This window comes from Homo sapiens, chromosome 16 (assembly GCF_000001405.40).
Source record: "Homo sapiens chromosome 16, GRCh38.p14 Primary Assembly".
NCBI classification, from domain to species: domain Eukaryota; kingdom Metazoa; phylum Chordata; class Mammalia; order Primates; family Hominidae; genus Homo; species Homo sapiens.
Window position 1 is genome coordinate 57,152,396 of NC_000016.10, and position 23,012 is coordinate 57,175,407.

General features: G+C 42.2%; 1 protein-coding gene across 43 annotated transcripts in view; it reads right to left on the reverse strand.

The window, feature by feature from the left end:
• Positions 1-70: 70 nt before the first annotated feature.
• The window catches only part of PSME3IP1 (proteasome activator subunit 3 interacting protein 1), a 33,651-nt gene continuing 10,709 nt past the window's right edge, over positions 71-23,012 (reverse strand). For 23 of the 43 annotated variants that reach the window (NM_001354078.1, XM_047434681.1, XM_047434680.1 and 20 more), the window contains 6 exons: positions 21,333-21,474; positions 20,381-20,479; positions 19,856-19,977; positions 14,698-14,831; positions 11,606-11,670; positions 71-2,112 (listed from right to left, as the gene is read on the reverse strand). In NM_001354078.1, the coding sequence (NP_001341007.1) occupies positions 1,895-2,112; positions 11,606-11,670; positions 14,698-14,831; positions 19,856-19,977; positions 20,381-20,479; positions 21,333-21,459 (765 nt within the window). In that variant the 5' untranslated portion in view covers positions 21,460-21,474 and the 3' untranslated portion in view covers positions 71-1,894. The other 20 variants (NM_001354082.1, XM_047434678.1, XM_047434677.1 and 17 more) reach the window with 6 other exon arrangements.

Here is a 23,012-nt window from a genome sequence, read left to right on the forward strand (position 1 = left end):
TCTCAACACAATCTAGCTGAGAGACATGGGGAGAGGTGGAAGCACAATATTCAGTAGAGGAAAAACAAGATCTTGTTCTCTGACAGGTTTATTAGCTTTCATGTTAATGGATGTTTTTAAACCCTGCAACCCTCTGTCAACTTCTTTCCACATCAAGAGGCCATGAGATACAGTAATGGCCTCTTAAGAGTCATGCCACATAAAGATGATGACTTTGATGTCCTGGCCTGCCTCCTGTAACAATGTGAGGCTGTTTTGGGTACATGCTGTAATAACAACAGGACTATCACAGGAACAATGAAGCAGAGAAGCAGAAGGTGCCTACAAAGTTTTACCTAAATGTCTTGTTTGTCAGGATGGAGCTGATGCGCCCATACTGGCAGAACAATTAGCACAGAGTAGTTCTGAAAAGGAGGAAGAATTCACAAAGCATCAGTTATGGGTGCAGGGAAGTCGCCATCTGCCAATGGGCACCAGAGTGTCACTGTACTGGAAGGGGAAAAGGAGTGGGCTGGATGAGATCCAGGGGCCTCTCTGCCCATGTTCAAAGTCAGTAGCTGCTCTGCCTGCCGGCATCACAGTGTCAACACATTTTGTGTGTGTCTCACTCAGTCTCACACCCAAGAAAGTAAAAACAATTGATGTAGGAATAAGGGGAATGGATAAAGAATGGTACATGCTTATTCTAAAGCAGGAGAGCCTACAGATTGTTGTCAAAGCTCATGTCTATCTCTGTCCTCGAGGCCTCCACACCATCTCCCTCTCCCTCCTCCAGAATCCAAGGGATGAGCCCGTTTCCCTTTATGAGACGAGGTGGAGCAGTACCTCTAGTTTTTGGCTGCTCATGGCCTCAGAGTTGCTGTTTGGAAAGGAAAAAGAGCAGCAGAGGCAGCAAAGAAAAGTACTAGGGCAGCACCTTTAGGTTAGAAATAGATTCCACAGTTAAAAGCACAAGTATAATATGCATTAAACAGAGAAGGGCCTCAATAGAATGGTCACAATATGCAAGTGTGTCCCACTCATTTACAATATTAGGATTCCAGGAGCTGCCAGAAATAAGTCATCTCATTAACATACCTACCTGCAGTTCTGATGTCTGGCTATTAGTAAACAAGGCCTACGTTTGTTTCTCTAAAATTTAGAATCTTAAACTAAATCCTTTATTTCAAAAACAAACATAAAATAATTTCCCAGGCAGAGAAAAGGTTTGAGATGGAAGCGTTCTTGTTAGCAGTCCCTTCCTGCATAAATGGGGTTGGAGAGAGAGGAGAGAGGGAATGGCCAAGGGTATGGAAAGCTTTCACAATGCATGCCGAGTGTGAAGTGACACCCCCAGCAGATGGGGTTTATCATCTTTACTTAGTCACACAACATCAAGGACTGGTTAGTTCCAGGGAAGGGCTCCATTTCACTACCTGGGTCAGTTCTCTTCCCCCGCATGCTCCACAATGCAGTAGAACCAAACAACACATTCATTTACAATAGAATGTTTAAATAACACCTGTCCAATAACTGCCCTTACTTCTTTGTGCTGTCGGGAAAAGAAAAAACAGAAAGCAATAAAACCCAAACCCTTTGGCAAGCCAGCCGGTGCCTATTCTCCTGGGGCATTTTTAGTGGAACTTCGGCTGGGCCTTGCCCTCCTCCCAATATCAGTGAGGAAAGTGGCAGCGGGACAGGTTTGGTCATCTGCAGTGGAGTAGAAAGAGGAACCAAACACGATTCGGGCCACAGGTGGATTCTGGCACATTTTTAGATTGGATTGGTTAAAAATGTCATGTTGTACACAGGATGCAGGCAAAGGAGTTTTTTTTTGAGGGACATAATGCCTATAGGCAGCATGAACGGTCCGATCTACCCTTGGGGAGGAGCTCCCTGTGTAGGGACGGAGAAACTAGGGGGCCTCGAGGAAGGTGTTGGTTCGGAAGATGGAGGAGACAATCTTTCCGGTGGCATTGATGGTGCCTTCGCTGTCTGAGCTGGACTCGGAGTCGCTGCTCCCAGAGTAGGCACCCAGGCCTGGGAGGATGCCGATACATACTGCAGCAGAGGGGCAGTGGATGGAGGGGCCACTCAGGGAGGTGTTTCCGAGAGACTTGCAGGATGAGGGCTCTGCAATAAAAGGGGAAAGACTGTCACTTCATCACCCTTTTCCAAAGTTGGGGACTGACTTACCATGTGCCAGGCACTGTACCAAGGGATTTTCCCACAGAGGAGCCTTAGAACAATGCTATGCAGCCAATACTATCATCACCCTCGTTTTAGAGATGGGGAAACTGAAGGAGGAAGGGAGGCTCCAGGAGGTGAAAGGACTTCTGAAAGTAAAGGGGCAGAGCTGAGACTTGAATCAAGGTCTTTTTAACCCCAGAGCCTGACTACACTCTCTTGTTCCCCATCAAATCCGAGTTGGAGAACAAGCTACTCTGGAGTGTAGCCTAGAGTGCTTTGATTTCCCTGTGCTCACACAGCCGTGAGAATCTGAAAACAGATTAAGAGAGACACTGTGAGCAATATTAACAATTCCATTAAGTTCTCAGCGTATTACACCATTTCTTATTTACTGACCAATAAGCCAGCTAGCACAGATACAATTTTAAGGCCAAACATCAGCTACAAAATAACATTCTTTTCTTTTTAAACATTTTAAAAAATCGGGTAGCCCCCTGGACTAGAATAGGCTCAGAAGGACTCACCAGAATAACGTTCTTTATTAAGAAGGGCCGCTTTTCCCAAGTGGGAGAGAGGAGCAATTCAGAAACCAATTTAACACAACCTTTGCTTTCCAGTTGTGTTCTTTTACAAATGAGAAAACTGAAGCCTGTCAGGTAACATTTTAAGGCCATGCAGAATGTCATCTAGGAGCTGGGACTCTTTTTCTTACAGGAAACCCACAGTTACTCTGCCACCTCAATGACAAAGACCTCAATCTAGACAATGCAGGGCTTGGCTGGGCATGGTGGCTTATGCGTATAATCCTGGCACTTTGGGAGGCTGAGATAGGAGGACCACTTGAGGTCAGGAGTTTAAGACCAGCCTGGGAAACATAGTGAGGCCCTATCTCTACGAGAAAATGTTTTGAAAAATTAGACAGTGCCAAGTGAGGTGGCTCATGCCTGTAATCCCACACTTTGGGAGGCCAAGTTGGGTGGATCACTTGAGGTCAGGAGGTCAAGACCACCCAAGGTGGGTGGATCACTTGAGGTCAGGAGTTCACTGGCCAACACAGTGAAATCCCATCTCTACTAAAAGTACAAAAAATTAGCTGGGTGTGGTGACGCGTGCCTGTAATCCCAGTTACTAGGGAGACTGAGGGAGGAGAATAGCTTGAATCCAGGAGGAGGCAGTGGTTGCAGTGAGTTGAGATCGCGCTACTGCACTCCAGCCTGGGCAACAGAGCAAGACACTGCCTCAAAAAAAAACAAAAAAACTAGTCGGGTATAGTGGTGCATGCCTGTGGTCCCAGCTACTTGTGAGGCTAATGTGAGGATTGCTTGAGCCCAGGAGTTCAAGGTTACAGTGAGCTATGATGGCACCACTGTACTCCAGCCTGGGCAACAGAGCAAGACCCTGTCTCAAAAAACAAACACACAAACAAACAAACAAAACAAAGAAAGAAAGAAGGAGGAGGAAGAAAAGAAAATGCAGGACTTGAAGATGAAAGGAAAAGTTAAGAACTCTACTCCAGCCCTTCCATTCTTCCCTGAAATGTTTCCGGCCTTATTTAATCACTACAACTTGATGTATAGGCATTATCCCCATTTTACTGATGAGGAAAGTCAAATGACTTGGCAAGGTTGTAGGTTGCTTAGGGCAGAAAATGTGAAACTAAACGTGAATCAAAAGAGAACATACGAAAATGATAACCTGAGCTCACTGCAGAGTAAGGGTTGGAGTTCATACTTTGTTGCCACAGGCTGACAAGCATACTACCTTCTAGGGTTTTGCCTTAGATGCACTAACACCTCATTTACCCAGACACCTCAAGTAAATGTGAAAAGAATACACAGTTCCAAGTATAGGAAACCAGGAGTAAGCAAACAATACCACTGAGCAGTTAGAAGAGATATCAAACGGCCCGCACACAAAGTTCAGGAGATCAATGTATTTGCTTGTTTGTGCAAGAAGCTCTAAGAAGGGAAAAGGAAGTTGCCAAAGATAAGCAATGTTAAAACACGGAGATGGAGAAAAGTCAAATGAAAGCCGACAGTGGCTACAGAGATAGAGCAAGGCTACAAAAAAAAGGCAGGAGCAAATACTTGTACTATCATAAAAGCAAATTTCCTTAAGATACTAAGAGTTCTTCCAAATCTGTTAAAAAAACAACCAACAACCAAATAGAAAAGTGAATGGAAAACATGAACAACTCAAAGAAAAAGAAACAGATGAATTTTAAACATAACGGGATAAACAATATATTAGGAGGGAACATGTTAGGAACAGCAAACTTCATTTGCTGTTCAGGGAGTACAGAGAAATTTGGCAAAGTTCTTCGAACTTAAATGATGTTCATAAGAGAACATTCATTGCAGCACTGTTTATAGTAGCAAAAGAGTACTGACAACCAAAATGTCCATTAATAGATGACTAGTTAAGTAATGGACTACTATTCAACCATGAAGAAGAATAAAGTAGCTGAGCATAATGGCTCATGCCTGTAATCCCAGCACTTTGGGAGGCCAAGGCAGGAGGATCATTTGAGCCCAGGAGTTTGAGAACAGCCTGAACAACACAGGGAGACTCTGTCTCTACAAAAAATTTAAAAAATTAGCCGGGTGTGGTGGTGCACACTTGTAGTCCCAGCTACTCAGGAGGCTGAGGTAGGTAGGAGGACCACTTGAACTGGCGAAGCTGAGGCTGCAGTGAGCCATGATCGCACCACAGAACTCCAAACTGGGTGACAGAGCGAGAACCTATCTCCAAAAAAAAAAAAAAAAAAAGAAGAAGAAGAAGAAGAAGAAAGCATCTCTGTGTGTACTGTTATTGAATGATCCCCAAGATATTGTGCTAAATGAAAAAGGCAAGGAGCAGGACAGTGTGTGAAAGTTACAATCTGGGGCAAAGTGGCCATGCCCATGTAGATGCATGTCAGTGTCTGAGAACAATAAATAAAAACTGGTAGCAGAGGCTGCTCAGGGGAAAGGAAATGAGTGGCTGGAAAATGGGGGAGACTTACTTTTTACTCCACATTCTTTTGTCCCTTTTGAATTTTTCCTTTTCTTTTTTTTCTTTTTTTTTTTTAAGAACATAAGGCTCACTATGCTGCCCAGGTTAAACTCCTGGGCTCAAGTGATGTTCCCGCCTCAGCCTCCCAGAGGGCTGGGATTACAGGCATGAGCCACCTAGCCTGGCCTAAATGTTTTATTATGTGCATATATTACCAATTCAGACAGTTTTTTAAAATGCAGCTGTGCTTGGGTAGACAATTTTTTAAAAAAGCAAATACAAAAATTCAAAGAACATCCTGAGCCCTTAAACTAGGGAGGAATAGTCCCATTTATCTCTGTAACCCCAAGAGCATCCCAGTATTAAAGCTAAGAAGGCTGTAGAAGATGAGAGGGGTTGCTTGTGTGTATTCTCCACTAACGGTAAGCCCCTTGAAGGCAAGCATTCTTTTATCACCATTCCACCCCCAGGACATATAGCACAGGGCCTGGCTCAGAGCAGGCTTGCATTCACAAGGGTCAGAAATCAGAATGCAGGAAAATGTGTCAGACAGTTTACAGTTTCATTGCAAATGGCTAATTTGGGGGGAAGGGGTATAAAAATGTGATGCTCTTTTAACATTTGGAACATAACATCAAACTATACCATTCATGACTTAAAAATACATTGTAGTACTTATGTATACCAGATAGAATGATATTTTCAGCATTCTGTTAGAAAAATTTGGTTGTTTAAAAAAAACAAACCAGCCAGGCGTGGTGGCTCACGCCTGTAATCCCAACACTTTGGGAGACTGGGGCGGGTGGACCACCTGAAGTCAGGGGTTCGAGACCAGCCTGGCCAACACAGGGAAACCTTGTCTCTACTAAAAATACAAAAATTAGCCAGGCGTGGTGGCACACCCCTGTAATCCCAGCTACTTGGGTGGCTGAGGCAGAAGAATCGCTTGAGCCTGGGAGGTGAAGGTTGCTGTGAGCCGGGATCGCACCACCCCACTCCAGCCTGGGTGACAGAGCTAGACTGTCTCAAAATAAAAAAACAAACCAACAAAGAAAAAAAACCTTAAAAGGATATATAGATCAGTTACCTAGAAAACTAATTTATGTGAAATTGTTGAATGAGGTATTTCATTTTATCAAGTACAGACACCCCTGCTTAATGATGGGAATATGACCTAAGAAATGCATCATTAGACAATTCCATTGTTGTGAACATCATAGAATACTTATACAACCTAGATGGTATAGCCTACTACACATGTAGGCCACATGGTATATAGCCTATTGCTCCTAGGCTACAAACCTGTACAGCATGTTACTGTATGAATACTGTAGGCAGCTGTAATACAATGGTCAGTATTTGTGTATCTAAACATAGCTAAGCATAGAAAAAGGCATAGTAAAAATACGATATTATGATCTTATGGGACCACCATCATATATGCACCCATCATTGACCAAAATGGCGTTATGTGGCACATGACCATATTTCAAGGGCGAATGGAATTTAAAGTTCTATTTTACATAGAAAAGAAGGATGAAAGTCAGAGTGCCTGTGGGGGTAGAGAACTGGCCTAACGGAAGAATGGAAGTTAGCTACAGAAATATAATCAAGGAATCTGGACCACTGTGGTATCAGAAGAGTTTAAGTGAAGAGACCAAATACCCCAATTATCTAGGAGGTTTCAAGAAAGAAAAGAGATTGCAAATCTGACAAATTTCATTCCAAAAGCAGTTAACTGTCCAAAGAGAACAAAATGGTGCCCTCTGATCTCACCCATTTGGTGAAGTTTCCTGCCAACTTCTGCATTTGCAGGACCACATTGTCATACCAAATTAACACAGAAAATTACTAATAGAGAATGTTCTTAGTATTCAGACAGATGCGTGACTTGGGAGTAGATGGGGCCAACTTGTGCATTCACTGGCTCTGCTCAGTGCTTAAGTTCAAAATCTTCGCTGGGGGAAGCCTGAATTTCTATCAGAGTCATAGGGGCCCAAGACGGAAATCCTCCCACTGCTAAGGACAGGGCTGAAGCAAGCTTCAGGGAGCGTTCTTCTTGTGGAGCCTTAATTCCTAGCAAAGGAGGACACTTCCTGCCTGGTTTCTGTTGCAAGAATGCAGGAGTAGGAAGAAGGGATTTAGAATGACAAAAAGATGGCTCTGAAACACAGCTGTCTGCCTGAGATAGTTCAAAGAATCCACACAAGTTTTCCTTTCCACTGATTCATTTGTATAGTTCCTACCAGGAAATAAGTACCATATAAAGAGCGACTAGCTTACTTGTAGAAATACATTTAAGATTCCTATGCCAAGAGCATTTAACCCCAGCTACTCAGGAGGCTCACGTGGGGGATTACCTGAGCCTGGGAGTTTGTGGTTGTAGTGTGCCATGACTGCACCTGTGAATAGTCACTGCACTACAGCCTAAGCAACAAAGTGAGATCCTATCTCTAAAAAAAAATTAATTAAAAGAAAAATATTCCCTTTGGGAGGCCGAGGCGGGTGGATCATGAGGTCAGGAGATCGAGACCATCCTGGCTAACAAGGTGAAACCCCGTCTCTACTAAAAATACAAAAAATTAGCCGGGCGCGGTGGCGGGCGCCTGTAGTCCCAGCTACTCGGGAGGCTGAGGCAGGAGAATGGCGTGAACCCGGGAAGCGGAGCTTGCAGTGAGCCGAGATTGCGCCACTGCAGTCCGCAGTCCGGCCTGGGCGACAGAGCGAGACTCCGTCTCAAAAAAAAAAAAAAAGAAAAATATTCCTATGAAGCTTTATGTGTGTGTGTGTATACACATATACAGTATACATTTATCCTATTTAAGCAAATTTCCTATTTATTAAAAAGATGTCAGTGAAAAATTCCAAAATTGCTGATGGGAGTATAAATTGGGATAACTTATTTGAAGGGCAATTTGGCAATATTTACCTAAATTACAAATGTATATCCTCTCTGACCTATCAAGTCTACTTCAAAGTATTTAACCTGATAGATCTGTGCATGTGAAAAATTATGCATGTGCAGGATTATTACTGAAACATCAGAACAGGGAAAGAATGAAACAATCTAAGTGTTCATCAATTAAAAAGTAGGATAAATGATATACCCATGCAATATACAATACTACACAGCCTTAAAAAGGAACGAGGAAGTGCTCTATGTCCAGTTATGCAATGATTCCCAAGGTACAATAACTGCTGAATTAAGCAATGAACAGAGTAGGTTAGATTAAAATACTACTAACAATGAAAGTATGAAAACAGTATATAATGTATTCTTGCCGAAAAAACCAACTTGATCAACCTTCCAGATCAAACTACCATTTTACAGGAAACACAAGGTAGCAGGAAACAGCATGGGGATGCAATCAGTAAAATCTAGAGCCAGAGAAATGCTAAAGAACAAAGACCCAGTTTCTCCACAAATAAAATACAAAGAAAACAAAATATAAATTTAGAAAGGAAGAACTTACAGATTAAATTCAAATTAAAAGGTATATTAGCCTACTGCTAAGATGGCAACATTGCCAAATTAATCTACAGATTCCAACAATTCCTGTATCAAAATCGTAACTGCCTTTTCTGCAAAAACTGACAAGCTGATCCCAAAATTCATATGGAAATTCGAGACTCCAAATAGCCAAAACAATCTTGAAAAAGAGGAGCCAAGTTGGAAGACTCACACTTCCCAATTTTAAAACTTACTCCAAAGCTATAGTGATCAAGACTGTGTGCTAATGGCATACAGATAGACATATATAGCTCAGTGGAAGAAGAGAGTCCAGAAATAAACCCACACATTTATGGTCAACTGATTTTTAAAAAATATAAACCACTGAGTCGTATCCTTTTAAAGGGTGAATTTTATGGTATGTGAATTATACCTCAATACTTTTTTAAAAAAAAGCCATAGTAGCCAAATATAATGTCTGGTCCTTGCTAAGATCATAATTTTTTTTTTTTTTTTTTTTGAGACGGAGTCTCCCTCTGTCACCCAGGCTGGAGTGCAGTGGCGTGATCTCTGCTCACTGCAAGCTCCACCTCCTGGGTTCAATGCCATTCTCCTGCCTCAGCCTCCCGAGTAGCTGGGACTACAGGCATCCGCCAGCACACCCAGCTAATTTTTTGTATTTTTAGTAGAGACGGGGTTTCACCGTGTTAGCCAGGATGGTCTTGATCTCCTGACCTCGTGATTCACCCGCCTCGGCTCCCAAAGTGCTGGGATTACAGGTGGGAGTCACCGCGCCCGGCCAAGATCATAATTTTTAAAAAGAAAAAACTTTTTTGAGACAATTGGAGAAAATACTAACTTAATATTCGATAATATTTGGTAATTACTGTGATTATTATTATTATTATTTTTGAGACAGAGTCTCGCTCTTGTTGCCCAGGCTGGAGAGCAATGGTGCAATCTCGGCTCACCGCAACCTCTGCCTCCCAGGTTCAAACGATTCTTCCGCCTCAGCCTCCTGAGGAGCTGGGATTACAGGCATAGCCAGCAGCCCGACTAATTTTGTATTTTTAGTAGAGACAGGGTTTCTCCATGTTGGTCAGGCTGGTCACAAACTCCCAACCTCAGGTGATCTGCCTGCCTCAGCCTCCCAAAGTGTTGGGATTATAGGCATGAGCCACTGCGCCTGGCCTGTGATTATTAATATAATGGTACTGTAATTGTTAAAACAAAGAAACAAAATAAGAACTTGTATTTGCTAGAGACATATATTAAGAATTATGAATGAAATGATATAATGTCTGGAATTGTCACAAAATATTACAGTTGAGAGATATAAATGAAATAAAATTGGCTATGTGTTAAAAACTGCTGACTGGGTGTGGTGGCTCACACCTGTAATCCCAGCACTTTGGGAGGCCGAGGCAGGTGGATCACTTGAGGCTAGGAGTTCGAGACCAGCCTGGCCAACATGGCGAAATCCCGTCTCTACTAAAAATACAAAAATTAGCTGGGCGTGGTGGCACATGCCTGTAGTCCTAGCTACCTGGGTGGTTGAGGCATGAAAATTGCTTAAACCAGGAAGGCAGAGGCTGCAATGAGCCAAGATAACCCCACTACACTCTATCTTGGGTGATAGAGCAAGACCCTGTCTCAAAAAAAAAAAAAAAAAAAATTGTTGACGGTCTTTCCTGTAGGAGATACCTTACAAAGAAAAAAAAAAAATCAGTGAAGCTTGGTAATGGGGGTTTATTATACTTATTCCAACTTCTGAATATTGCTTAAATTATCCATAATAAAGCATTTAAAAGATACATATTTACAATTGCTTGCACATGCATAGAATAGCTCTTGATGGCTACATAAGAAATGTGGCTGGGCTTGGTGGCTCACTCCTGTAATCCCAGCACTTTGGGAGGCCGAGGCAGGCAGATCACTTGAGGTCAGGAGTGCAAGACCAGCCTGGCCAACATGGTGAAATCCTGTCTCTACTAAAAATACAAAAATTAGCCAGGTGTGGTGGCGCACGCCTGTAATCCCAAATACTCGGGAGGGTGAGGCAGGAGAATTACTTGAGCCCAGGAGGCGGAGGTTGCAGTGAGCTGAGATTGAGCCACTGCACTCCAGCCTGGGTGACAGAGTGAGACTCCATCTCAAAAAAAAGAAAAAAAAAAGTATAATTCTGTTTCCCTCTAAGGAGAACTAGATGGAAGAGATACGGGTAAAAGGCAGGCTCCTTTTTTTTTCCCCCAGACTCTTCTTTTTAAAAGTAGGTTCTAGACCAAAAGGGTAACAGCAACAGACCACCACCACTGGTGCTTAGTAGATGCATATTAAAAAGCATCATCTTTTTTTGAGAGAAATTAATGTAAGCCCTGTTGATCGATGGAATTTAGTTCAGAGTCTCAATCCCACATGGAGTTAGAATAAAACTGAAAACACACTCGAATTTCTCATCCCTAATCCAGCCCCAGTAACATTCACCTTCACTTACAAGTTCTTGCCTCTTAATACAGAGGCAGATTTCATCACATAAAAGTAAAAACCAAAGAAGTATACTCCTTGAGATTGTATTAAGCTTCTAGGCTCAATCCAGTACAACAATGAGCAGGAGCCAGGTATTTACCTCCCACTGGTAGCAAACCAGGTGAAATCAAGAAACCTGACATTTGGGGGAAACAGAAAAACACCTTTTGTGAGCAGAGGTGGTATGACCAGGGCCTGGTAAGCACTCCTGGGAGAGTACTATTTTCATTGATCAGTTTCACTGGTTTCTAATATAATAACTTTTGCAGGTATAAAATCCTGCCTGGTATAAACTCTGGCCTGGTAATAAAATCCTGCCTGGCATAAAAAAGTTGGGTAAATTAAGCATAGGTAGGCTTGCTTGAAGACAGAAATGCATTCATTTGCAGAAGCAATGCATTACAGCCCTTTACTGTGGTTCATGTGTATTCTGAGTACAAGGAAGTAATGAAGGCTGCCACCCACCTTGATTCTTGTCATCTGGCTCAGGGTCCGGTTTCAGTCTTTTCACACTGTTGCCACTCTCTGAGCTGTAACAAAACACATGGTGACTTGAGCCATGTCCAATCTTGTGGATCAAAGCTTAGGGAATCAGGAGCTCCAATAACTATTTATATGGGTCTTAGGCAGTCTCAAGAGGCTGGGATGATAAAAATGAATGAAAAGTATTCATTTCAGATTCTTAATCTCCTTCCAATTGCATCATCAGTCATAAAGACAATTTAAACTCCTGACAAATCCAGGAAATAAAGCACTGTATCAACCATCACTTCAACTTCAGATTCTTGGCCGTCTTTATCACTCAAATTGGTTAGAACCACAGATGGATTTCAAGAATATTTAGACATGTTCATAAATGACAAACATTTAGTAATTACAGATTGAAGAAAACATCTTTAGTGACATGCTAGAGATTCTGAGAGTCACCCACAAGATTTTCACTAAAACAATGTATAAGGAATGTATTTCAATGAAGAAAGAAATGATCCCAGAAGGAAGGGACCCCAGAAGGAAGGGGTGGTGAACAAATAAACTGGCAAATACAAATATAAATCTAAACAAATACTGTATCAAAAAATAATGTCTAGTTTGTGGTGTTCAACAGACCATACTGAAGTCACCTCTAAGACTGGGGACATTACTGTGTGTATGTACTAGTTGGTATTTTCTTGCAGGGAGTACACAGCAGGTTCCATTTAAGACTTATGTGGGAGGCCCGGGTGCGGTGGCTGACGCCTGTAATCCCAGCACGTTGGGAGGCCAAGACGGACGGATCACCTGAGGTCAGGTGTTTGACACCAGCCTGGCCAACATGGTGAAACCCTGTCTCTACAAAAAATACAAAATTAGCCAGGCAAGGTGGTGCATGCCTGTAATCCCAGCTACTTGGGAGGCTGAGGCATGAGAATCGCTTGAACCCGGGAGGCACAGGTGTGCCAAGATTGCGCCATTGCACTCCAGCCTGGGCGACAAGAGTGAAACTCCAGCTCAAAAAAAAAAAAAGAAAAAGAAAAAGAAAAGAAAAAGAAAAGAGAATCAGAGTATACAAAACCACATGCAATTAAGTTGGAAATCAATGACAAAAGAGAAACATATTTTGCAGCCTCTAAGACACTGTTATATATATATATATATATCATCATAAGGTGTTAAAACGTGTGTGGCGAGGGGGAAGGCTTATCTTTCCCCTCACTGAAATATGGTTGTTACCTCAATATGGAGATTTAAAAAATACATTTCTAAATAATTCCTGAGTCAAAGAAGAAATCATAATGGATATTTTAAAATACTTAGAAGGAAATATAAAACTCATATACAATGAAAGTTAAGGAAAATTTATAGCTTCAGATGCTCATAACTAAAAAGACTGCACATTCATGAACTAGGTATCTGACAGTTTTTTCTAACAATAAATAAAAGAATAAACTAGAAGAGAGTAAAGAATATTCCTTTGAAGAAGGTAAGAAATTGCTGCTTGTTTTGGTCTTATGCTTCATGACATATACATGCCAATGGCTTCCAGACCTTCACCAGGCAGCAGAATCACTCATGGAACTTTGAAAACTACGACTCCCAGACTTCACTTCAAACTTACTGAACCAGAATTAGTGCAAGGCCTGCGAATATAAATTATTAACAAACTCCCAGGTGATTCCAATAAACTCAGGGTCGGACAGATTAGGAACTCCTGCCCCAGGAGACTACCTTACTACACAAAGAAACATTAAATGATGTTGTTTCAAAACCCAAAAGGGGTTATATGCAGGTCACCAAATACGCTACTACAGAGCCTTTTCTAAAGGTGATCTAAGAACTAAGGGAAACAGTTACAACACCCATTCTGCGACCACCAAGAGCAGTCTCAAGGGATAACAAATTGATCACCTGGAGAGCCCTCCCTTGGCATATTCCAGTAAAACTGACCCAGGTCCAAATCCTGCGAGTCCCTAGTCTTGCAGGAAAGCTTATGTGAGAACTTGAAAGGAATAATTCATGGTTTGGGTAGCGAGCCCTTCTCAGGATAACTCCTCCCCTCTGTTGCTATACCAGCATGACATTTTTACATGTAGGCAGTGTTCCTAAGAACATCTGCAGCAGATGGGTGGTGTGCCAAACCACAAGACTGCATCAATACACTCCCTTCAAAACATATGGCTGGTTGCCAATATATCATATTGATTTTCCTAATAGACTGCACTTAAACTTATCATTTCGCCCACAGTCTGTTGGGTCAAATCTAAATGACCAGATTCAATCACTCTGATGACATTTCAGGATTTGGAAAGGGAGGAGCAAACATAGCAAAGAACTTATCATAGCCTTGAGACAGTGCTATCACTTCCACATCAATCCAAACCTAGCCACAGCCAGGTCTGTAACCCTGCCAGGGCTGCCATGTTCTTTCAGGACAGGATGCCTTTGCAGCAGCTATTCCCTCTGCTTAGACTGTTCTCTCCCTTGTTGCTTGTCAAAGCCCTAGTTGTCCTACCTAATCAGCATCTTTCCAATGGTTTCCCCCAACCTCCCCAACATGAAGATGCACACAACACCCTCCCAGCAGCATTGTATGCTCCTCCTCCTTGCTCTCAGTACACCCTACACAGATCCTTTCACAAGACTCACTACCTCATTTTTCTAGACAGAAGCCCAAATAATGAACTCTAGCTCTCTGTTTCTCTATGATCTTGCACAAAGAAGGGTCTCAACCTCTCAAACTCTTGGTCTTCTCATCTACAAAACAGGGATTATAATTGTACTTCATAGGGTTGTTGAAGAATACATGGGATTATGCACAGGAAGCACTTAACACAATGCCTGGTGTGGCAGATCCCCACTGAAGAGTAGCTATTATTTATATTTGTTGAATAAGTGATCAGAGAGACGAGGGTCAAAGCCTATAGAAGGCCTCAAATCTGGAAAGGGAGAGATAGGTGAGCACACCAAGGGAACTTCACCAGGACTCACGCGAGGCAAGCGTTGGCTCTGGCTTCCATTACAAGTGGTGTTTCAGAGTACACGGTCAGAGAGAAATCTGAGTTGTGTGAGTGCTGACTAACCTCTTATGCTTCACAGCTCCTGCCAACAGCTTCGCCTGGGAGAACTTGTTCTTGGTTTCTATAGGCTTCACAGTCAGTTTCTTTTCCACTTCCTTCTTGTTCTCTTGAGAAATTCCAACCTTCTTGAGGTTATTGTGAGTTACCAGTTAAGGGTCAAACTAAGCAAAAGGGAAGACAACAAATATAACCCACTAGCCCTTCGGCTGTGCGATGTAATGTCTGGCCTACTTATTTAAATAAATGCCCCACCCTTCTTTATTCTGCCAGTCAAATCCAGCCAATTCAAAGATAAATGAAAGAGACCATGGAGGAAGACAGCATATAAAGCCCAAAATAATACAGATAAGCAACCTTTTCCTCTGATTCTCAATGAAAATCTGAGCATAGCCACAAAACCCACTATTACCAAGGACATGGCCAATATCATGCTTGATGAGGAAAACAGATCTTAAGGAATATAAAGAAAACAGAAAAAAAAATGTGGCTTCCCTGAAAACATGCTTCCCCCTTCAAGGGTTAAATCAAATTTTGCAGAATGTTGTTCTGACTATCAGTGGCAATTAATCTTAGACATCACGAAGACTAACTCCTGCTCCACTGGTGCAAGGAAACATCAGAATCACCCCAAGGCTCATTAAACATGTCAAGTCCCTCCCTGCCCCAAACCTACTGAATGAGACCTCTAGAGGCCCGGGAGTTTGTTTTAAACACTCTCTGAAGGTGATTTTACACTTGATCTTAGCCAAAAGGCCAAGAAACAATCAAAGGTGATTTTAATGAGAAATCCTGTGCATATATACAAGAACTGAAAAGCTATTTTTAAAAGCATGACCAGTTCGCTTGTAACATCAGTTTTTCGTTCTTGATGCCAATCTCTGGCTCTCAACTTTTTACTCTTTTGAAGTGAAGAAAGGCCCCATATTTTTGTCGGGGAGGTCACTTTCACTTGTTCCCTCCACCAGCCCTCCCTCCTCTCCCTCCACTTCTCCCTCCGTTTTATGCTCTCTCTTGAAACGTCTTAGACAACAGATAAGTATTCTGACACAGTGCAAGTCCTTATTTAAGATGCACTAGTGCCTGGAACAATAGTGACATCTAGTGCCCAGGAAATCTAAGAAGCATGAATTATCAGCCCAAAAAGGTGGGTGGAAGTAGAGGATGTATGGTTAAGGTTATTTATCTACGTGTCTTTGAACAATGGAGAAAATCCTAAGATTTTCCAGAAATCCTAAGATTCTAATTCTAATCACTCTCCAGGCAACTAACTCTGTTCTTATGGGCACAAGTTACCTTAAATATTTGCAGTATGCAATGGAAATTAGATATAATGCTTAGTACTATTATGAGTTTAATGAATTTAATGTTTTTAGGGTCATCATGGAAATAGATAATGTTAATACTCATTTTTATTTAAAAAAAAATAGATTGGCCAGGCACAGTGGCTCATGCCTGTAATCCTAGCACTTTGGGAGGCCGAGGTGGGCAGATCAACTGAGGTCGGGAGTTCAAGACCAGCCTGACCAGCATGGAGAAACCCTGTCTCTACTAAAAAGACAAAAAATTAGCTGGGTGTGGTGGCACATTCCTGTAATCCCAGCTAGTCGGGAGGCTGAGCCAGGAGAATCGCTTGAACCCGGGAGGCAGAGATTGTGGTGAGCTGAGATCGTGCCACCGCACTCCAGCCTGGGTAACAAGAGCGAAACTCTGTCTCAAAAAAAAAAAAAAAAAAAAAAAAAAGATTTCATCTTTCTAGGAGAGAATGCCAAAAAAAAATTAGCATGTTGTGATTTTTTATCTGCAACTCCATCATTAGGAGACAGAAGTTCTCAAAACTCTCAATATTAAATATTAAAAAAAAACAAAAATGGAAAAAAAACACAACAAAAGCATGTATATATTTATACATTATTTATACCACGACATAGACAAAACCCAACATTTAACTTTTTATTCTTTTGAAATGAAGAAAAGTCCTAACCTTTTAGGGGTAGGGGGTGTTAATAATCTTATTTTTGATCCGCAAAGTACAAGCAATTTTTCCTTCTTAAGCCCCTCTTCTCCCAAAATGCTTTAAAAACACAAACACACCTCAAAAATCTCAAGAAATTCATTAGATCAGCATTCTCTTAAAATTGCACCGTTTTTTAACATACACAATACTGCTAAATACTGGTTTAACCTGAGACGAAACAAGAGTTCTGTTATTTACATGGTTTAAACCACAGCTTATTTGTATTCAGAAGTATCCTATTATACAACATATCATATAGTAATCAAGCAAAGCCTAGAAACAGTTCCTAACTTAGAGCTTCAATAAACAAATGTCTAATCCTTCAATTCCTATCTCAACATGTCTCTGGCTACTTGCATGCTTGGGATTAGTGTATTAGATGTCAGTGACTTGGAAGGCCTGCTTTTCTTCAGTTTTTCTAGACAGAACTTTCCAAGTTTCCAGTTAAAGCCCTTATCCCTGGAGCCTCATTGTACTGCAATGTTACCAGGACACAAAGGTTTCTTTTGTCTCACTGCTGCCCTGTTCATTCTTTCCTTTTAATTGAAAACCAAAGGGCATCTCACACTCAACAGCACTTCTCCCCAGATGCTACTTTGGGGGACACTATATGTCTTATTTGCTAGTCTACCAAAATAAAACATAATATCATTCAAGTGAGAAGTGTAATGAATGTATTTCCTTAGAGGAAAAAGCTTGGTGTCTGAAACAACACAATATGGGTATCTGCCTATCTCTACAAACGAACACATATTATTTTGGGGTCATCAGGGTCAGGGAAGGGGGAGTTCAGAATAATCAGCCTCAATCCTACAGTTGAGATTGAGGTATAACTTCCCATGAGCTTCCATCTCCATGTTGCACCTGAATGCCAGTAACAGAACTGGGACTGGAAGCCAGGTCTTTTCCTACCAGTTCTGATGTAAATCAATTCCCAGGGAATCAGGGAATCTGTCCATGTCTTCTCCCATACAACGCTTTTTTTTTTTTTTTTTTTTAAGATAAAGTCTTGCTCTGTCCCCAGCCTGGAGTACAGTGGCGTGACCTTGGCGCACTGCAATCTCCACCTTCCAGGTTCAAGCGATTCTCCTGCCTCAGCCTCCTGAGTAGTTGGGACTACAGGCACAAGCCACCATGCCCGGCTAATTTTTGTATTTTTAGCAGAGACAGGGTTTCACCATTTTGGCCAGGCTGGTCTCAAACTCCTGACCTCAAGCGATCCTCCTGCCTCGGCCTCCCAAAGTGCTGGAATCAAAGGCGTGAGCCACTGTGTCCAGGCCTCCCACGTAACTCTTAAAATGGAATGTGCTGCACATTCTCTGCAAGAAAATACCAACTAGTACATATACACAGTAATGTCGTCCATCTTAGACGTGAAGCCTGTTGGATTACACCAGTGATGTTACTCAACATATAAGCTTGAAATATCCAAATAAGCTTCCTCACATGAAGATAAATGGTCCTATTAATATCTCCTATGAATCATTTATTAATTTATTCACATATTTACTGAGAATCTACTATATGCCAGGCACTGGAGAAATCAGAAGTGACCAAGTCAGATAGTCTTTTTTCTTATGGAGCTCATTTACTTTACATTCTAGCAGGAAAGAGATAAACAAACCAGTAGGCAAATAAATAAAGACAACTTTCAGATAGTGACAAATCTATAAAAAATGATATTACTTGCTGGGTGCGGTGGCTTACGCCTGTAATCCCTGCACTTTGGGATGCTGGAGTGGGCGGATCACCTGAGGTAACGAGTTCGAGACCAGCCTGACCAATATGATGAAACCTCGTCTCTACTAAAAATACAAGAATTAGCTGGGCGTGGTGGCATGCACCTGTAACCCCAGCTACTTGGGAGGCTGAGACAGGAGAATCGCTTGAACCCGGGAGGCGGAGGTTGCAGTGAGACGAGATCGCGCCACTGCAGTCCAGCCTGGGCAACAAGAGAGAAACTCCATCTCAAAAAAAAAAATTGATATTACCGACAGCAATTTTAGGTGGGGTGCTTAGGGAAGGTTTCTAAAAGGGAGAGCTGAGCAGAGGGCTGAGCTGTGAAATGCATCTTGCAAAATCTGAGGGCAGAACATTTTGGGCTGAGGAAACAGCAAGTCTGAGGCCCTGAGATTGACTCAGAAAGCATGGTGAAAGAGAACATAAAGAAGGCCAGCAGGCTGCAGTACAGTCAACATGAGAAAGAGTGGCTTCAAGATGCAAGAAGGAGGCGGGTTGGCCTAAATAATGTAGAACCTTCTACGGCCTGATACAGAGTAAGACTTTAGTCTAAATGTAAGGGGAACCCACTAGACTGTTTCAAATAGAAAAGTGACATGATGCCATGTATGGTTTTTAAAGTTCCCTTTCTTGTCTAAGGAATAGATTATTGAGGATGAGAGCAGAAACAAACCAATTAGATGGTCACAGGAGTCGAGAAGAAAGTCTACTACTACTACAGTAGCAGTAGATACCAACAATTCAAGAGATTTGGAGTACGTTTTGGAAACAGTTCTTGGCCCAGGCACCTGGAGGCATAGGACTACCAGTTACTGGGACTGGGAGGACCAGAAAAAGAAGAGACTTTGGGGAAGGGCAGTGTGATGAGAGTGGGGGTGATGTGGCACAGTATTGAGAATTTTGATTCAGCCAAGTTTCATTTGGGATGTCTATGAAGACATTCAAGTGGATGACCAAAAGGCAACACTGATCTAGAGCAAAGTCATCTTTGCTGCTTTCTCAGCCCTTCTATCAGGACAGGGCATGCTATACCACTAGAGAACATCTTACTAAGAATATAGGAAAGTTGCTAAACATGTTCTTTTAAAACTCAGAGCCCAATTTCTCCCCTGGATGAAGCTGACTGCACTGCCCACCTGTGTCAGAATCTAATCCCAGTACTAGTAGGATTGATGCCTTGAGTTAACCCTAAGAAGGATGTGGACTTTTGACTATAACACTCTTGCACACAACACAAACTCCACAAACCACTACCAGCTTTTCAGAATTACAGGAATATCAGTGTTCAAAGGGACTTGAGAGATCACCAGGTAGAAAACCCTCTTTCTGTTGATGAGGAGACAACATCCATAGATGCTGATGAGAAAATGGACACCTTACAGGTTTTCCTCCAAGTACAAAGGATATTCTGTATTCCTTCAGTTCTTTCAGTTCTTCTTCTCTTCGTTGCTTTTCTATTAGTTCCTGCTGTCGAGAAACCTCATCAAGGAAGTTGGTCTCATCTTCATCTAAGCCTCTTACCATGTTTTCTGAGGAAATAATTAAACAAGGCACACTTAGCAGGCTAAAGGGAAAAATAAGATTTTTCCTTTCCCCTTTTTAAATAAGCAGCAGATTCTTCAGGGGATTAAAAAAAAAAGAACTGGTAAATACCATGGCGTTTGAATAGATAACAGGGCATAAAAAAAAACAAGGCATTTTTTCCCATTACTAAATATTACCATAGAATTAAAATGGGTGTTTTGAGCTCTAAACAAAAATATTCAATGTGGTCTAGAAGGCTGAAGGCTGTCTCTTTTCCACCAAATAAGCATCCGGAGACTCGAAAATCAAGACAATTCCACGGCTAGTTAGGAAAAGTGCTGCACAAGGCAAAAGTGCGTCAAAAGTACCCCACAGAGCCCCTTGAACTCTCTGTTTTCTGAAGCTTACTGAATTTGAACTGTTCCTCGTACTCCTGCTGCTTCCTGTCCTTCTGTTCCTGTAGCCTTTCATATAGAGATCGAGGGTCATAAACCTCCTCTGGACATTCTGAAAGGAAAAGGAGAGGGGAGAGAGGTGGACGGGGAGGAGATATACACTTCAGATTGTTTTCATATTATTTTGGAATCACAAAAGGTTTTAAAGACAAAGTCAAGTCTCTGCATGATCTGAGGGTGTGGATAACACAAAAATAGTACAAAGTCCAGTTTCCCTTTGGACCTCAGAGAGGGGCCACCAGTTCTCAAAGCCAACTATCAATGTCAATAGCGCCCATGGCCTGAGACAGTTAACTGATTGAGGGGCCAGCCCAAACCCTCCACAGCAGCAGTGTTCTCAGTTGTTCAGACCATGGATCCACCTGTATAGATGGAGGAGAGGAGCAGAATCTCTTGGAAGGAAGTGTGGTAGGCAGAAAAGAAGCAGGATGTGAGTATGCTGGCTCTGCTCCCAGCTGTGCAGGACCTTACATAGGTGACTTCGCCCCTGAGTCTCAGTTCCTCAACTCTAAAGTATGGACAATTGGCCAGGCATGGTGGCTCACACCTGTAATCCCAGCACTTTGGGAGGCCGAGGCAGGAGGATGGCTTGAGCTCAGGAGTTTGGAACCAGCCTGGCCAACAGATGAAACTCCATCTCTACCAAAAATACAAAAATTAGCCAGGCGTGGTGGCTGGTGCCTGTAATCCCAACTACTCGGAAGGCTAAGGCAGGAGAATCTCCTGAGCCTGGGAGGCAGAGGTTGCAGTGAGCCAAGATCGCGCCACTGCACTCCAGCCTGGGCAACAGAGTGAGACTCCGTCTCAAAAAAATAAATAAATAAAACCAAGTGAGGACAATTAATACCTACTCTGCAGGGTTGCTGTGTGGATTAAAGACCATTATACTGACTGTCACAGTATACCTTCTGGATCTTCAGGTTTTCGAACTTTCTCCCATTCTTCTTGCCTCCTTTTGCGCCGTTCATCTAGTTCTGCCTCAGACACAAACCTCTTTTTGATAATAAGGTTACCATCATCCCCTCCATCCATAATGAAACAACCAATCTACAAAACAAAAACAAAAACAAAAAAAATCATTTCAAGTGAGAACTGCAATTAAAATTCTAAAGAGAAACAAGGAGATTTAGCTCCATCTCACCCAGCAACAAACTAAAAATTATCTTCCAACTTTGAATTGAAAAAATTCTCGGCCGGGTGCGGTGGCTCATGCCTGTAATCCTGGCACTTTGGGAGGCCGAGGCGCATGGATCACGAGGTCAGGAGTTCAAGACCATCCTGACTGACATGGTGAAACCCCGTCTCTACTAAAAATACAAAAATTAGCCAGGCACGGTGGCACGCACCTGTAATCCCAGCTACTCAGGAGGCTGAGGCAGGAGAATCGCTTGAACCTGGGAGGCGGAGGTTGCAGTGAGCCAAGATCACACCGCTGCACCCCAGCTTGAGCGACAGGGCAAGATTCTGTCTCAAAAAAAAAAAAAACTCTCAAATAGTTTAATTTATAGGCCATTGATGAAAGCACATGAATACATTTTTCCTGACATATCAGAGAATTTTTATTAACATCGATGTTATCTACACAGTTGGCAAGAGGACCTGGGATAATTCTTATTACCTGGTGTTCCATAGTAAATCTCATATTGCAGCTATTTCTCTGTCCCTCTAATCTAGAAAAATTGGCCTCCTGAGCATCCCATCCTTTTCCCAGCTCTCATCCTCCTTTATTTCTGTAACATCTGACATTGTTTCTTCTTGAAATTCCTGTTTCTGAGACATTACACTATCTTGATTCACCTGCTCTTGCCTCCAAGTAGATTAAGATGGAGAATCTCAGCTATTGAAGACTTAGTGTTCAAGTCCAGTCTGTATAGCAGGGAAGGTGCACAAACCATGAATGGAGAAAGTGAGACTGGAAGAACAGATCTCCCAACTTCAGTTCCACGTACTTTCCTGAATACTAATCTGACTCTTCATTTATATCTCTTCTGACCTTCCTCCCTGTAAACCCCTTGTCTGTGCCATTTAAGATTTGAACTTCAATCCTTCTCTTTTCTCACTCCCACAATCACCTCAACCATTTTATGCATATTTTGACACAGAAGATTACCGAATCTGTTATTTCTACCTGAGCTTTTCTTCAAAGAGGAGAGAAGGAAATAAAGATAGCAGAGTGTATATTACTTATTACTCCTTTTTTTTTTTTTTTTGAGATGAAGTCTCGTTCTGTCACCCAAGCTGGAGTCCAGTGGTGCAATCTCAGCTCACTGCAACCTCCGCCTCCCAGGTTCAAGCGATTCTCCTGCCTCCGCCTCCTGACTAGCTGGGACTACAGGCGTGTGCCAACACGCCCAGCTAATTTTTGAATTTTTAGTAGAGATGGGGTTTCACTATGTTGGCCAGGCTTGTCTCGAACTCCTGAACTCGTGATCTGCCCGCCTAGGCCTCCCAAAGTGCTGGGATTACAGGGGTGAGCCACCGCACCTGGCCATATTACTCCTTTTAAACTAAACCTCTGTTTTTCTTTATTGGTTTCTTTCCTTTTGAGTAACTGTGGAATTAACCCCTACCCAGACATGTTATTC